This window comes from Homo sapiens, chromosome 15, assembly GCF_000001405.40.
Source record: "Homo sapiens chromosome 15, GRCh38.p14 Primary Assembly".
In the NCBI taxonomy this organism is placed as follows: Eukaryota; Metazoa; Chordata; class Mammalia; order Primates; family Hominidae; genus Homo; species Homo sapiens.
Window position 1 is genome coordinate 26,548,587 of NC_000015.10, and position 17,905 is coordinate 26,566,491.

Here is a 17,905-nt window from a genome sequence, read left to right on the forward strand (position 1 = left end):
ATGAATAGTCCTGTGATCGAAGATCATTCCTGATGACTTCCGTGGAGTAGATACAGACACCCCCCAACCCCAACTCAGGTAGGCTCTCCTTGCCCAATACTGGTTCTGGCAGGAGACTTCTTTTTGAAGGGCTATATATAAAATAGACGAAATTCCCTTCCCACAATGGAGCCAAACTTTACAATGATAGCATTTTATTCTGTGCCAAATTTAACTTCAGACATTTCATGATGATGCCAAAGGTCCATTCTGTTTGTGGGTTGGTCTGCACTGGAACTTTCAACCTTTCACAGAACATCCTGGGGCTGGGGGCCCCAGTAGAGTCCTTTCTTAAATGAACTAGTAGCATCTGCTTTCTGAGCTGTACCCATCCCTGCCACAGCCCCAAGGACCATTCCACAGTCCCCTGGGCTTTCACTCCAGCAAGCCCCACACTTCCCTATCTCTCTTCCCTTTCTTTGCCTGGAGGGCCATTTTCTTTGTCCTGTTTTAGGCTGTGGAAAGCCTACCCCGTGTTCCTGTAATAGATTAAGTGTCTGTGGCTTCCTCCATGAATCTTTCACAAAACACAGTTATTTTGTGTAGGAATAATTTATTGCCGTATTAATTTGTGTCTTCCCGCCTTCTGCATACACTTTAATTTCATCAATGGCATCCAGCTAGATAAGCAGGAGGTGAGGTGGTGAGAGGAGTCCTGCCTGAGAAGGCGCCGGGCCTGTATGGAGTTCCAAGTAGGGATAAGACCGCCGGTGGGATGGCCTCAGACTTCAAGGGGGCTGTGACACAGGAAGGGCTGCACACATCCAGGGACCACTCAGACTGTGGTGGAAAGGCACCAAAGAGGACTCTCAGATGTCTACAGGTTTGGTAACACCATTCTGGGTCACTTCATTATGCTTGGGGAAAGTGAGGTGGTCATCAGGGTAATGGCCCCCAGGGAGGTTGTAACCACAGGATCAACCCAGTCTGGTTCAACCTTGTGTAATAACATGGTGAGTTATTTTCAGTTGCCATGAACCCCTAGGTTGAAGGTCATGTAACCTAAGCATGCCCAGATGAACCAAGCATACAACCATGAGTGGAACCTAAGTGCTCAGACTGAAGAGTTAAGAAGCAACCACCACATGGCAGGATCCAGCATCCAATCAGATTGAGCCCATGGCAGGATGCAGTCAGACCATACCTCCCAGCATCACCTCATTGCAAGATCCAATCAGAACACGCCTCATTACCCTCTGCCTATAAAACCTGCCCCAAACCCCAGTTCCAGGAAAGAGATTTGAGCATTTCCTCCTATCTCCTTGCCAGTTGACTTGCAATAAAACTTTTATTTACTCAAAATCTGGTGCCATCGTATTGGTTTCCAGCACATCAGGCAGTGAGCCCATTCATTGCTCAGTACCAAGCTCACCATACTCACCAGATTCTGTGAGTATGTAACCCTATGCAAAAGTGACTTTGTGCATGTCATTAAGGGCACATACCCTAAGATAGGAAGATGACCCTGGATTGTCCAGGTGGGTTCGATCTCATCACACCTTCAAAAGTAGAGAACTTTCTCCAACAGGAAGCAGGAGAAAAAGTCAGAGAGATAAAAGCAGAGGAACTCAAAAACTGAGGACTTGAGTCACCCTTGATGGAAAGGCTGTAGGGAAAACATAAGAAGAAACAAGGCAGCTGATAGGAGCAAAGATGGGCTCCAGCTGACAGCCCAAAATCAAATAATCCCATTAGAAAGTGGACAAAGGATCTGAATAGACATGTCTTAAAGGAAGACATACAAAAGGCCAACAGGCACTTGAAAAAAATGCTCAATATCACTCATCAGGAAAATGCAAATCAAAGCCACATGAGATATCATCTCACCGCAGTTAGAATGGCTACTATCAAAAAGACAAAAATAACAGGTGCTGGCAAGACAGCCAAGAAATAGGATCTCTTAAACACCATTGGTGGGAATATAAATTAGTACAGCCATTATGGAAAACAGTATGGAGGTTTCTCAAATAACTAAAAACAGAACTACCATAAGATCCAGCCAAGGCAATGGGGATCTCAGTTTACGACAGGGAGCTGTATTTGACCAAGCACCTGAATGATTCTGGAAGCACAGTTAACCCCAGAGCCTGCAGAAAGGAAAGGAGCACAGATTGCCAATACTTTAATTTCAGCCTCCTGACACCCTAAGGGAAGGACCCAGCCAAGTCTCACTGTACCTGCACGTGTGGCCTAACAGAATCATGAGATAAAACACGGTCTTATTTGAAGCTACTAAATTTGTGGTAATCTGTTACAGTGGCAATCAAAACTACTATAGGAGGTGAGAGGGAAGATACATTTGCATTGTGCCTCAAAGAACGAGTAGAAATTTTTCAGACAAAATGCAGCAAAAACATCAAAAGCAAAGGCTTGAAGAGCACCTGAAATATTTTGAGAAAGGCAAACACCGTTCCCAGCACATACTAAGCCTGAGACAGATGAGGTCACTGTCATCATCACTGTCATTATCACTTTCGTATCCTCTTATCATAGTAGGAAAGTACACCTAGTGCTGGGTGGAAGCACAGATTAGATTTAGGCCAGTGAGGTTTTTGTTTTTTGTATGTCATGTGAAAGAATTTCAATTTAACTCTTTAGGAAACAGGAAGAAGAGTACTTTCTAGGTAGAAAGTCATAGACTTCTGAAGTGCAACTCAAGCTATAAGAAATTGAATTTGAGAAGAGAGTGCAGAGAGGGGCCCCAGGGAGAGCGCCCTGCAATGGTTTCTGTTTCCTTTAGTGGAGTCTGGAATGGAAATGCCTGAAGCCCGTGAATAACTGCTCCCTCGGCCACTGCAACATATCTTGAGGTTTTCCTTAAGCCTCGAGACACACACGGCATGCCCACAGCAGCAACGCTGGGCCTTCGCCTGCCCAGTGCTGAATCTCCGCAGCTCAGGGGCTGGGGAAGTAGTGGAAAGTCACTCAGCACTCCAATCCCACCCCGGCCCATGCACTCCTGTCCCCTGTGAGCTCCTAGCAGGAGCGTCCACACTGCAGCAAGTGTGCCATGAGTCCAGGTGGTGCCAGTGCTTCTAAACCAATGCTACATCCTACAGTTATAGGATGAAGAGTGTCACCGCGGGGTCTTCCTTATAGTTTACAGGCAGCATTGGTTTAGAAGTTGTCAGATAGTGACCTCATCTGTCCTCCACTAGACGGAGTGGTCTCCTTAGAATGGAGGACAGCCAGGCTGAGTGCTTGGAGATGGGAATGGACCGAGATCACACCACCTGTGCTGGAAGAAGGCCCTTCATGGAGACACGTGATGTGGGGAGGTGAGGAGGGCATTTTCTTATATTTTTTATCCAGCAGAAGGAAAATTCTAATGGAGCTTGTATCTCAAAAGCACCTGGAATGTCAGACCTTGGTGAAATTTTGACTTTTTTTTTTTTTTTGAGATAGAGTTTCACTCTTGTTGCCCAGGCAGGAGTGCAGTGGCACAATCTCAGCTCACCGCAACCTCCTCCTCCTGGGTTCAAGCGATTCTCCTTGCCTCAGCCTCCCAAGTAGCTGGGATTACAGGCATGTGCCACCACACCCAGCTAATTTTGTATTTTTAGTAGAGATGGGGTTTCTCCATGTTGGTCAGGCTGGTCTCAAACTCCCGACCTCAGGTGATCCTCCCGCCTCGGCCTCCCAAAGTGCTGGGATTACAAGTGTGAGCCACCACACCCAGCCTTCTGTTATGCATCTGTCCTTTCTGTTTTCTTTCCACGGGATGATTAGCAGCAAAACTCTTTAAATGACAAAGTGTGTCTGCATGTCTTTGAGACAATGGAAGCATTCCTTGGTTTGGGAGACAGAGTTTCTCATTGTACCAAGAGGATATGGCAGGAGAAGCCCAACAGTTAAATTCAGGTGTGGCTGAAACAGGTGCCCATGGCAGTAGCATGTCCCTTGTGCAGGCCACCTAGGGCTAGCTGTGGGAGTGCTAGGGCCACATCTTCCTGCCCAAGAGTAGTCATTCACTATCCCTAAGAAGGGGTAACCTGAACCTGCCCTGGATGCTGCAGGGAGGAGGGCTTGACTGGGCAGCCCAGCTGGTCTTTGCAAGAAGAACGATTCACAGCAAGATTCTCCAGGACAGAAGCTTGTCCACTGGTCTTTATCTCCTTCCAGCATCTTCTACCGTACCTTGTGCCACAAAGGAAAGAAGTGGGTGGAGAGAATGAGCTGCCTGGCTCACACTGGGAATGTTGTTGTGGAGAGGGCCTGGGAGGGGGGTTCAACCAATGTGTTCCTGTTCATTTGGGGTGTTCCATTCATTCCATTTACTGCAACAAATATGCTTGGTACCCCACCAAATATGTCTGATTTTGAATCATGAGAGAAAGCATATTTGGTTACCATGAAAAGGGATTTGATAAATTGAGGTCATTTATCAAATAAGCTCAATTCGATTGTATTAGAATGTCCAGCATCTTAAACAGTTCTACTTAAATGGTAAGCTTATATGTTTAAAATCTATCTGATGTTGAGTCAGAAGATAATCAAAGGTGGAAGATGCTTATAGGTGTTTTTTGTTTTGTTTTGTTTTTTTGAGACAGAGTCTCGCTCTGTCACCCAGGCTGGAGTGCAGTGGCGCGATCTCGGCTCACTGCAAGCTTTGCCTCCCAGGTTCACACCATTCTCCCGCCTCAGCCTCCCAAGTAGCTGGGACTACAGGCGCCCAACACTGCGCCCGGCAAATTTTTTGTATTTTTAGTAGAGACGGGGTTTCACCATGTTAGCCAGGATGGTCTCCATCTCCTCACCTTGTGATCCTCCTGCCTCGGCCTCCCAAAGTGCTAGGATCACAGGCGTGAGCCACTGCGTAGTAACGCAGAATTTGTTCTTTTCAATAATACTAAATGGTTTGGGAATTACGATATCAGAAAAGTGAAATCGTTTTCCTGAAGACAGAAAAAAACAGAAAGCATTATTTAGCTTTAGAAAAATGTTCTCTACAGACAATGCAATGTTTTAAATAACAAAACTGTGAGATGAAAAAAAGCCCAGTCATCCACTTCAGGACGTGCGATGCCTCACTGGAGAATGCACTTCCACGAAGGGGCTGGGATTGTTCGAGACCATTCATTAAAACATTACCATGTGGCTGCTACATGTCACCATCTTGCCCTGTCCTTAGTCAGGAGCACAAAGTGAACACAAGAAGGTCCTCACCCTCAAGGGGTCTAACTGATGAGACCTTAAATAATCAACAAGTGCATTTGAAAAAATACTGCATGTTGCCTTTTAAACACATTGATAATTATTACTTTTTAGAGACAGGGTCTTGCTCTGTTGCCTAGGCTTGAGTCCAGTGGCGTGACCATAGCTCACAGCAGCCCCAAATACCAGGGCTCAAGTGATCCTCTTACCTCAGCCTCCCGAGTAGCTGACACCTGACTATTTATATATATATATATTTATTTATTTATATTTATTTATATATAAAGTGTGTATATATATAAAGTGTATATATGTATAAAGTGTGTGTATATATATAAAGTGTGTGTGTATATATATATATAAAGTATATATATATATAAAGTATATATATATAAAGTATATATATATATACTATATATATATATATATAGTAGAAACAAGGTCTCTCTTTGTTGCCTAGGCTGATCTGGAATTCCCAGGCTCAAGTGATCCTCCCGCCTCCAACTCCCAAAGTGCTGGGATTACAGGCTTGAGCCACCGCACCTGGCCTAAACACAGTTTTAAATACCATCTCTTTTCTAGTGATAACATATAAAAAGCTCCTTTTATCAAAATCTAGTAGACCAGAATTAACAAATTCGTGGAGTGAAATACCAAGGGGAGGAATGTCTTTTCTTAAAGGAAGAAAGGGGAGTATTTTGCAATCTGTTTAGTCAGATGAACTTTGACGATTCTAATGACTCAGTTTTACCCGGCTTTATAAAGATGACATTTATAAGCCTTGTCCTCTCTTCCCACTAGGAAAGTGGAAAAAACATACCTCTCCAGTGTGACCAAATCCATGACAAATAGCACTCATTCATGGACAGATGTTACAAGAGCACGTGTACCACGTCCGCGTCATGGGTGTGCATATTTTGGAAGATGCAGAGAGTCAGATGCTGTCTAGGAGGCAAAGCTTGCTGGGCACATGGGACGTGAGTGATCTGCCATTTTCACAAGTATAAAGCATGTGCCCCATAAGTTGGGAGAACAGAAATAAAACCAACTGCTTAGAGCAGGGAGTGATGGGGCAGGATGCAGATAAGTGGTAGGCAAAAAAAGTCAAGGAAACTGTTGGCTGGGCACAGTGGCTCACGCCTGTAATCCCGGCACTTTGGGAGGCTGAGGCGGGCGGATCACGAGGTCAGGAGATCAAGATCATCCTGGCCAACATGATGAAACCCTGTCTCTACTAAAAATATATATATATAAATTAGCTGGGTGTGGTGGCAGGTGCCTGTAGTCCCAGTTACTTGGGAGGCTGAGGCAGGAGAATCGCTTAAACCCAGGAGGCAGAGGTTGCAGTGAGCTGAGATCGCGCCACTGCACTCCAGCCTGGGCGACAGAGCGAGACTCCGTCATAAAAACAAAACAAAACAAAAAACAACCAAGGAAAATGTCATGGAGGAAAACATCTGGCTTAGATCTTGGAGGGAAAATGTGGACCAAGAAGAAAGGCATTCTAGGTAGAGAGGACAGGACAATGGAAGGGGAATGGGTCATCATGTAGGTGGGGACTTCAGGAACTGCACAGGGAGAATGAAGACACAAGACATCGGGTAAAATGAATGTTGACTTGAGTTTTCAAGATTTAGATACAAATCTGTATGAATCCATGTCCTGTCTTCCCCAGCGCTGTGGCCACTGTTGTGTTTGGGAGACGACCTCACGAACGTGGGTCTCTAAGGCTGTGCCCTTGAACTCTAGTGAAGGAAACTTAGACTGAGGGAAGTCAAACCCACCTCCCCACCTATGTTGTTAATAATTTACAAAACTACAGTGCTCTTGGGGGCTTTGGACATGTATGACTAACTGGTAGCTGTCTTAGGACATAGCACATGTGAGAAAGAACTCAAGAACCAATACAATTTTACATTATTCTTATTTCAGAGTGGGTGAACACTTGTAACGGAAACAACAGTGCAGGTAACTCTCATTCTAGTGTGAAAAGGAACCTGAATATATATTGAATTAATAAGATCTTAGTGTTAAATAGTTTGGCTGCTTTATTTATGGTTTTATGTTTGTATGGTTTTCATTTAAGCATGAACCAGTATGTAGAAAATTTCCACAAAAATTACTCATGGATTTTTTTTTCTGAAAGAACTAAAGGGTTACTAAAAATCTGTTAAATCTTAGGAGCCAAATAACTTAAACAGATATTTCCAAGAGAAAGTCTTTTTCTATCATCTAGAGTTTACGTCTTAAAGTAGAAAGAAGCGATTGTGGGTGAAATACAAGGCTGAAATGCCCTTCATAGAATGACAGATGACTTGCAATTTTTAAATCATTTCATGAATACTCTTTATTTTGAAGGGTTCATCTCATATCTACTATAATTAGAACCATTGATTTCAATGAAGTTTTTCTTCCTGCTCTATAACCTTGACAGGTGCAAACATTCAACGACTAAAAACATCTCATTCAGAATATAGCACAGAGAGATTTTTTGTTTTTTCCTAAAATATGTCACCAGATTGGCACACAGTTGATATCTCATTCTCTAATTTTCTTCCAGCTTCTAGTTAAGTAAAATACTGTCGTTTTAGAAGAATGAGAAAGGACTTGCCACGTGAAGAATGAAATCTTGCTCTTTAGTAAGAATGATGTTGAGTCTGCAGCTCTGATTCCTTGCCAAGAATTATGACTCTCTACCACCTCATGAAATTCAAATACTAATTGGTCAACTTGTAAAATATCGCAAGGCTTGTAACCATAATGCATGAATTACAACCAAAGATGAACTCTTGGGTATAGAAACAACTCAGGAACAAACAGATGGTATGCACAAATAAATTAAGGTCAAGGCTTACATGGTACCACTAGTCTGGGGAGATACTAAGTGAATATGTGAATGTCTTAAGCATTCATGAATCAATTATTAGGTTAAAATATGGCATAAATACTAAATATAAGGAAAACCTACTCATGGTTTTACAGTAGGGTCACTAAAACCATAGTACCAAGAGGCAGTTGCTGGTGGCCTACAGTGTCCATAAGGGTACTGTTTTCTCTTGAGATGCCTTACAGGACACAGAAAGTGGTCTCAAGAAAGACAATGACAAGCCAAGTCCCTGCTGTGGAGCCAGCAGCTGTCAGTCAGGGCGAAGCTGCTGGGTGTTGTTGGCCACACTGAGATGCAATCCCAGGTGCTATCCCTGACACATCACAGCATTATTCACAATAGTAAAGACAGAGTATCAATCTAAATGCCCATGAACAGTGGACCGGATAAAGAAAGTGGGGTACATATACACCATGGAATACTATGCAGCCATAAAAAGAAGATCATGTCCTCTGCAACAACATGGATGGAGCTGGAGGACATTATCCTAAGGTAACTAACACAGGAGCAGAAAAACAAATACCTCATGTTCTCACTTATAAGTAGGAGCTAAACACTGAGTATGAATGGACGAAAAAAAGGAAACAGCAGACACCAGGGACCCCTTGAGTGTGAAGGGTGAGAGGACGAAGAGGATCAAAAAACTACCTTTTGGGCACTATGCTCATTACCTGGGTGAGGAAATAATCGGTACACCAAACCCTTGTGACATGCACTTTAGCCATATAACAAACCTGCACATGTACCCTTGAAGCTAAGATGATAGTTAAAAAAAGAAACTGTAGAAGCTGTTAGGTTGTGTATACAGTACCACTTCTGTTTCACGTAAAATTTGATTCTTTTCTCATGTTCCTTTCTTTCATCCACATTACTTGATATAAACTTTTTGGGAGTTACATTTCTACTTAAACATTATCACTAAAGTCTTAGGTGTACTCAGGAACAATTTTTAATGTTTATCTTTAGGAGCATCAAATATGCATTTAGAATTAGCATACACATAATCATACGTTGACTTCAAACCTTAAGTACCGATCTACAATACAGATTCTTAACCATGTAAACATATAAAGGCCTTACTAAGATTGCCGAGAAAACAGAGAAACAGATTTTTGAAAAACCAAACAATAAACATGGATTCATGAATCAACGAAAAATTTCTTTTGCATTTAATTTATAATATACTTTTTCTACATCCTGCTAATTTTCTCTATGGATGCTAGAGTTTTTTTGTCTTTTTATCTTAGATTTTAAGCCTCGTACCCATAAAGGTATTTCTGCAGCACCACAGTTTGACTGTTTTAAACAGTCACATTTAGAAGAAAAAAATTTATAACCTGTTTAAATTAAGAGGAAATTTGGAAAGACAGCGTTGTATGTGTATGTGTATGTGTGGATACGTGTGCCTCTGTGATGGAAACAATAATGATGTGATGAATTCTAGTTTCCTTGGAAACAGCATGACCAAAGTGTATTGTGTGTTCCTAGTAGGATGTGGACCTATTTAGAAACATAACAGTATGATACTAAGTATATTTTCCACTAAGAAATTCAAGATAGTTTTGCCTGTGAAAAATCTGGTTTTATTCACAGACCCTCAGTTTTCTGACCAACTCTATTTATGCTGTGCTGAAAGGAAGGAGCCATTTACATTCACTTAATGTGCTTCCATGGGTTCATGAATGTTCGTGGGCCTCTGCCAGGTCTATGGGCACAGGCAGTCCTCCAAGGAGCTACTGTGTTCGCTGGGAGGTGTGGACCCATAAAGGCATGGAGGGCACAGGATAGAGCAAGAAAACCTCCATAGGCTTGAGAAATAAGTATGTGATATGGTTTGGATCTGTGTCCCTGCCCAAATCTCATGTTGAACTGTAATCCCCAGTACTGGAGGTGGGGCCTGGTGGGAGGTGTATTAGGCCATTCTCTCATTGCTATAAAGAAATGCCTGAGACTGGGCCAGGCACAGTGGCTCACGCCTGTAATCCCAGCACTTTGGGAGGCCAAGGCAGGTGGATCATCTGAGGTCAGGAGTTGGAGACCAGCCTGGCCAACATGGCAAAACCCTGTCTCTACTAAAAATATAAAAATTAGCTGGGCGCGGTGGCAGGTGCCTGTGAGCCAAGATCACGCCATCACACTCCAGCCTGGGCAACAAGAGCGAAACTCCATCTCAAAAAAAAAAAAGAAAGAAAGAAAGAAATACCTGAGACTGGGTAATTTATAAAGAAAGAGGTTTAACTGGATCACAGTTCTGCAAGCTGTACAGGAAGCATGGTGCTGGCACCTCTTGGCTTCTGGGGAAGCCCCAGGAAACTTATAATCATGGCAGAAGGTAAAGGGGGAGCAGGCACATCTCACGAGGACAGAACCAGGCAGGGTGGTATTGTGGTATTAAACCATTCATGATAAACCGCCCTCATGATCCAATCATCTCCCACCAGGCCCCACCTCCAACACTGGGGATTACAATTTGACGTGAGATTTGGGTGGGGACACAGATTCCTCATGAATTGTTGAGCACCATCCCTTTGGTGCTGTCTGTGATAGTCAGTGACTTCTCATGAGATGATCTGGCTGTTTCAAAGTATGTGGCATCTTCCCCTCCTCCTTGTTCCTACTTTTGCCATGTAAGTTGCCTGCAGCTCCTGCTTTGACTTCCACCATGATTGTGAGCTTCCTGAAACCACCTCAAAAGCCGGGCAGACATTATTGCCATGCTTCCTGTAAAACCTGCAGAACTGTGAACCAATTAAACCTCTTTTCTTTGTAAATTTCCCAGTCTCAGGTATTCCTTTATAGCAACAGAACAATGGCCTAACAGTAAGTTTAACAAGAAGAATTAAAAAAAAAATGTGGGAAGAAACCCAACATGTAAACAGGTAGAAATATATACTTGAGGATTTGAGGGGATAGAAGAGGTGGAAAGATAAATTTTAAAAATTATATTGGAACTATAATGTGCTTTCATTCAAATGTTGTTTATAATCACAATAACATACTGCTTTTATATAAGCTGAAATGACATCTAAAGATAAAGTGGCTTTGTGGTTGGAAGGATGTAACAGCATTGCTGAGTTGGGCTGGGCTGGAGGAGGGTGTGCAAGGGCTTTAGAAAGTTCATGGACTTCATAAAACAAAGTGTCTAGGTCTGCCCAACCCTGGCTTTTTGCAGAACACAACCGGGAGGGGCCAGGGCCACGGCAGATCTATGAGAGCTTCCAGAAAGAGCACTGCTCCTGCCTTGTGCATTCCTTTTGGACTTTGCTTTTTCTCTAGAAGACTGTGGCCACTGGGCAGGTGGACAAAAGATGGTGTGCCTGCTCCAGTGCAAAGAATGGCAGCATGCTGGATCATCAAATTGATAATTTTACAACTAAAGGAATATTGAAACATTTTGGAAAAATGCTTCCGTAGAACAAATTCACACTCTCCACCCCAGCGTTTCATTCTTTCCAGACCCACAGGTTTTGTTCTCTTTGTAGGAAACTATAGATGATTTTGGCTTCTCCAGCATCAACACTAATATTGGTTTTATAGGAAACCCTGTGACATGCACAAGGAAATATTTCAGATTATGATCATCAAGCCTGCCCAAGTCCTACACAAAGCTGATGCAAGTATATTTAAAAAACCATTAGGCCCTGTTACTCACTTCTGTAAGTGGAGAATTCAGAAAGGGCAAGGGAGTCTTTCATTGCCAGCTCCATGTTGACCCTCTCCCTTGTGTTCAACACCAGGCCAGAGATTAACCAGCCCCAGTCCAAATGCCCTCACCCAAATTCAAGAATGCACTCCACTTCTCAATAGGCTGCCCATCCAGATAGACGCTGTTTTAAGGGGCTTACTGGTGAGAGGAAGAAAGCCTAGGTCTGTGCCCTGAGGGTAGACTGGAGTAATGAAAGTGACTGTTGGGCATGCTTTACCTGGGCAAAAAGCAACCGGGCCAGGGTCAATGTGCACGGAAATGTCAAAAGTCAATTTTGTTGGCCAATCCAACAGTCCTCTTTGTGTAAGCCTACAACCACTGGTTTCAGTGAACTCTGGCCAGTCCTAGCTAGATGGCCAGGACTCCACTGGACTGGTTTGAGCAACCCCTGAATAAAAAACACCTGGGTGCCATGTCATAAGGGCTATATCACAAGTACAAGAAGGGTGTGTGGCTTGACATACACTACTGGGGAAAAAACAAAGAAATATCATGCAAGTAAATGCAGTAGCTGCTGAGCTGCAGGGACCAGGTGGGGTCAAGGTGGTGGAGAGCCTACCCGGTTGCTTTCGCTCTTTGAACGGTCATTCTTTGCCTTGGCTGTCTTTTCTGCAAGCTTCTTCTGCCTTTGAGGGCCTCTTCCAAAGAAAATGTAGTTGACAAAGGCATACTCCAGAAGGGCCAGGAACACAAAGACGAAGCAGCCCATAAGGTACATGTCAATGGCTTTGACATAGGGGATTTTGGGCAAGGTCTCCCGAAGGTGGGTGTTGATGGTTGTCATTGTCAGCACAGTTGTGATCCCTAGAAAAGAAACAAAGTGGTGAGAGGCTGAAACTTTGCCACATTGGTCTTCACTTTTCACTTTCCTTTTATGTTTTCTCAAACAGCTTTAAGTAGTCAGAGATAAGGGGTTGAATACTGTGGGGTGACTGGAATGCAACAGAGCATACATCTTGTCATTTGCACCGCACGTCACCACTCAGAACAGCAAGCTGACATCTGTACTCTGGGGAAGTGAAGCCGTGCAGGGCATCTCCCTCCCCCACCCACCCCCCTGCCCACTACACCTTGCTATCACACACGATGGAATTTTGAGAGTAGAAGAAGAGATATGTAGAGCAGGAAAAAAGAATGTGGTTTTTATGAATGCTGGAAAAAATAAAAATAAGCCCAGAATTTAGCATAAAGCACAAAGTGTCTAGATGAGAAACCTCCAGGAAAAAGAATGAATTTGAGGTGTCTGTGGCTGCAGAGGCAAGGCTATGAGCGAGAGCTCAGTGAGGCAGCCTGTGAGAAGAAAATAATTCCTACTACAATGCTTATTGGAAGCAAGAGGAATGAGGCAATGATTTTTAAAATTATTAGCCATGAGATCCAGTCCTGAGCTCAAAGAGAAAGAAATAGCTGAGTGAAGCTTCTGAGGGAAGATGATCTCAGAGAGCGACTTCCCTCCTCAACTAAGAAAGAATCTGTACACAAGCTGCTTAGGAAATGTTTGCTCAAGTTAAGGGTTAATGATTTCATTCATCTTATAGAATCCCACCATACTCTGGCGCAACTCATCAGATCCTTTTTTTAAATGTCGTTATGTTGAATTCTTTACATAGTATTGTATGGATGATCTCATTGTTTCCCAAATAGAGCTCAATTTAGTCTAAAACCATGTGTGGACCATGTATTGCAATTCTCCCTCCCATAGCAATAGACATAAGATTCTGCACTGAATCATCTGAGGCCATAGACACCAGGAGGCAAGTCAGTGACATGCCCAGAGCTTGTGGAGTTAAGTTACGCTGCGCTTACAGGAAAGGCACGGATCACTCCCTTGTGGTAGGGTGGGATGGTAGTACTGCAGCTGACGCGCTCTCTTGGAGACTGTATTTTTGACATATTAATATGTCTCAAGGAAGCAAGACAGCTTTGAGGGCTGAGCTCTTTTCTACGTATGCCACTGATGCCACTGAATGTGAAGATGTGGGTTTCAGGACCCAATAAAGAGAATAGGTTCCTCCGCATTGCTTTGTCAGGCTTCCCTGAAAAAGGAGACTTTCAAAGGAGAGAGCTTAACCATAATCCTTCATCCTCAGTAACCCAAAACCCACATGACATCACTGAGGCCAAGAGGTAGTGCCAGCCCTACATTTCAGCACTGTCCAGATATGTACTCTGGGACGGAGCCCAGGCCATTCTGCACATGGTCCCAGCCCAGCCCTCCAGGGCAGAGTTTGAATTTACTAAGCATTCCAATTTCATGCCCTCTGATTTCCCATCCTATCCTGGGAGGCAGCATCCTCATCCTCTGTGTCCCACAGGGAGAACCTTGAGACTGCAGAGCTCAGCTGGCCTGGGAATCAGCTGGAGAGCAAGCTAGACAGCCCAGTCTTCCATCTCCAACACAAGCGCTCCCTCCACTGAGCTCTGAACTGCTACTAAAAGCTAAGAAGAGAACTGAAGACTTGAGAAACTCTTTTTATGTAGAACTGCAAACCATGGTTGCTGACGGAATGTATGGAAATCCAAGATGTCAGAATATTTTAAGATTCTCTTTTAACATCACATTCATGTGCACCTGGGGACTTTTTAAATTTGAAAATGGCAATGGGATAATTACTGTTTACAAATAAATGTGAAAACACCACATAAATGCTACAAAATTAGGCATTCTCACCATTATTCAAAAAGTTTGTAATGTTGTTGCCACTACCGTCTCTCCCCCTTCAACTTGGATTTGGGAAGACCGAGCGCTTTGCTTTAGTCACGACTTTGCCTCTCCTGCTGGCTATTTTGAATGGACATGTATGACACAGGCCTCGGCAGATGTCCCAGACAATGGGCTGAAGGCACACAGGAATAGGTACAGCCAGCACATCTCACAGGCACTCAGCCTGGTAAATGAACCCCAGAGGGACCTGGGCTAGGACCCTGGATCCAGGCTGATTGGCACAGGCTCAGGAATCCCTAACAATAAGATTTCACAGTGAGTACTTCAGGTCTTTCTAGTTTGGACCCACATGCCACATGAGTTCTTAGCTTAAGAGGCCAATGCATTTACTAAGTCCTTCTATTGCTTTACCTGCTATGGGGGATACTGTGGATGGTGGTGTGTTGTGGTGGTCCACAGCCTGTAAAGGGGAGCCACATGGCCCAGACCCAAAGCCCAGCTCTGCCTCTGTGGGTCTGTAGCCATCATTTCGAGCTGTTGGAAATCTAATGGCAATGGCTGAAAAGCTCTGATGTGCCAATAAATAGTAACCGGCACTGTTAACACTAACAACAAATAATCATATGACTATCATCATTACAGAAAAATCATTCTTCGGTAGCCTCTAGGCTTCCTGGCCTTGCCTTGACCTTCTGCTCTCTAAAGGGAAATCATCCAGCTGCAGTACAGGAAATGGCTGGGTGGTGGCTTTCGTGTTTTTTTGTACGTTCACCAGGCTTGTAAGTCTTTCTGTAAATTGCTAGCCTCAACTTATTTGTCATTTAGATTATGTATGAAATATTGTATTTGAAAGCTGTATTTATAAAAATGAATATGAAATAAAAATATAATTTCTTTGCATTATTTAGTCAAAATATTTTGTTTCTCCTCCTCATGATAAAAATAATCTGGCCTAAATTTTATCAGTATACGTTTTTACCTTTAGAAGTATCAGTACTTTTGCAGATTGAGCATCTCTAACCTAAAAATCCAAAATCTGAAATGTTCCAAAATCTGGAACGTTTTGAGCACCTCCATGGTGCTCAAAGGAAATGCTAATTGGAGCATTTCAGATTTTGGATTTTTGGATTAGGGATGCTCAAACTAAGTATAATGCAGATACTCCAAAAGTAGAAAAAAATCTGATTTTCAAAACACTTCTGGTCCCAGGCATTTTGAATAAGGGACACCCAACCTGTATTCACTGAGGGTTTTGAGGGAGGCCATCTAATTACAACTTCCCACTTTAAAGTTTGGTGGTCGTTAACGCTAACAGTTCAATGTATCTGATGGTCAGACCCTGGGCAGCAGAAGCATATCATGCTGAAGCCCACAGAGCAGCCGAGGAGCACGGCTGTCTGAAGAGCCAGCAGAACAGGCCCTGAGTCCCTCCCGCGTTGAGTCCAGGTCCAACAGTGCCCAGAGCCCAAGGGTGAGCCCTCAATAGAGGCCTCTGCCGAGCCCCACCCGTCCTAGCTATGCAGAGGCAGCACCTTTATCATGCATTTAGAAGCAATGTGTATTGATCACAGTGCAGTCCCTTAGGATGAATGCAAAAAGCACTGTAAGCATTTCAAAGCTGTGCTATAAGACTAGGTGCTTGGGAAGGGGTGGCAGGAAGGGGGATTTCTCCAATGAAAGCCCTCCAAACTATAGCTGTATCCTATGGAGCTCAGTAGCATCTTAACAGTTATGAGGGATTCCTCAATAATAAGAGTTCATAATGTTTGGTTAGCTTTTTTCTTTTCTTAAACAAATCCATGACTTTTACAACATAGTAGACCAAATAACTCTTTACTGTAGTTTTACTGACACTTTAGGAATTATATGCAGTAGTTAAGGGAGAAGGTCTGGAAGTCATACTAACTGGATTGAAATCTTTCTTCTGAAACTTGGTAATTATATGACTTCGTACCAGTTACTTAGCTTCTCTGTATTCTATTTTTGTGCTCTGTAAAACTGGAGCAATAATACTTCGTACTGTGCTGTGAGTCTTCTCCAGAACAGATAAACTACATGAATGGCCTTAGCAGAGAATGTGGCACCTAACTATGTGATAATTTTCAGCCTTTATTAATCTTGTCTGTTGTATTGATGATGATGATGATGATGATGATGTTACTCAGTGCTCCTGACACTGCGTCATACTTTTTCTGAATTCACCAACTGACATTTCCCAGTGACTGTAGATCTAGACTCAGTCTTGTATTGGCAGGAGGGACAGAGGGAATGCATGTGCAGGTGTCAGTCATACTCTGAGAGCTGGATCTGTTGGGTTCTTGTCTGGCCAGACCCACAGCCCTAAGATCACAGCTGCCCTCTTGACCTCGGGGTCACCCTAACTCTAGTGAATATCCCCTTCACTCTGGCTCTCATGCTTGCCTCCCAGAGCACAAGCGTCAATCCTCCAATGTTGAAGCCTCAGCAACCCTAGCCAGCCCATGCCTTTATCCCAGCAAAGCCACAGAGGCACAGTTTGTTTATATTAATAATGCTGTCATGAAGAAAAAGTGGAATCTACTTTCATATAACTTAATGAAATTGGGTTGAATGTAACTCACTTCCGGGGTATTAACGATTTAATACTGTAGAAGGCAATACTTTACAATTAGGGAGGGACAGAATCTGTAATGGCTGGGAAATTCAGATATGCACATTTTCAGTACACCCCACCCCTTGTGATGTCAGATAATCATGGTTCCTTGGTACTCATATTTCACTAACTATCGCAGTGACGGCAAATTCTCTGTAGCAGATGCTTCAGATCGGTCTCCACTTTCATACGCCTCTTCTAGGCTTGGGGAGGGGTCCCAGCAACTTTGTATTTGTATATTTCATATTATTTTTCTTAAAAGGGGGTGCTTGAAATTGTATAAGCTAACAGCTCTGCATAATTTAGATCTGCCTCTACAAATGTATCTTTGAATTTTCCAAGTGAAAAAAGAGTTTAACAAAGAGTAATCTAGCAATATACGTATTTTTAAAGTAAAAGCTACATAAAGACTGACATTACTGGGGAAGATCTGCAGGCTGTAGAAAAGTCCTGGAGATTTTTTTTCTTTTTTTAGAGAACTGTGCTTATGATACCTATTAGAAATACATAACAATTAAAACAGCACTTTCAGTTTTTTGCAGCTTTACTCTTCATAGAGTGGTTTTCTTATCCACTTAACACCCTTAGGAATAGCTACCTGATTTTCTCAAGCCATAATTATGTGTTATTTCCTGGGAAATAAATCTGATCTTGATTACAACTATGCAAGTCACATGTTTGTCATCCATATACACACATGTACTTACATTTTATTAGAAAAGAAAACACGTTATTCAATTTAAAGTCCTGGGAAAAGTTGGTAAACAGAAAAAGGGCTGGGTGTGGTGGCTCACGCATATACTCCTAGCACTCTGGGAGGCT

At 43.0% G+C, this 17,905-nt stretch overlaps 1 protein-coding gene across 6 annotated transcripts in view; it reads right to left on the reverse strand.

The window, feature by feature from the left end:
- The window catches only part of GABRB3 (gamma-aminobutyric acid type A receptor subunit beta3), a 230,212-nt gene that overhangs the window by 5,035 nt on the left and 207,272 nt on the right, over positions 1–17,905 (reverse strand). For all 6 annotated transcript variants that reach the window (NM_021912.5, NM_000814.6, NM_001278631.2 and 3 more), the window contains one exon: positions 12,346–12,590. In NM_021912.5, coding sequence (NP_068712.1) covers positions 12,346–12,590 — 245 coding nt within the window. The remainder of the gene's footprint in view (positions 1–12,345; positions 12,591–17,905) is intronic.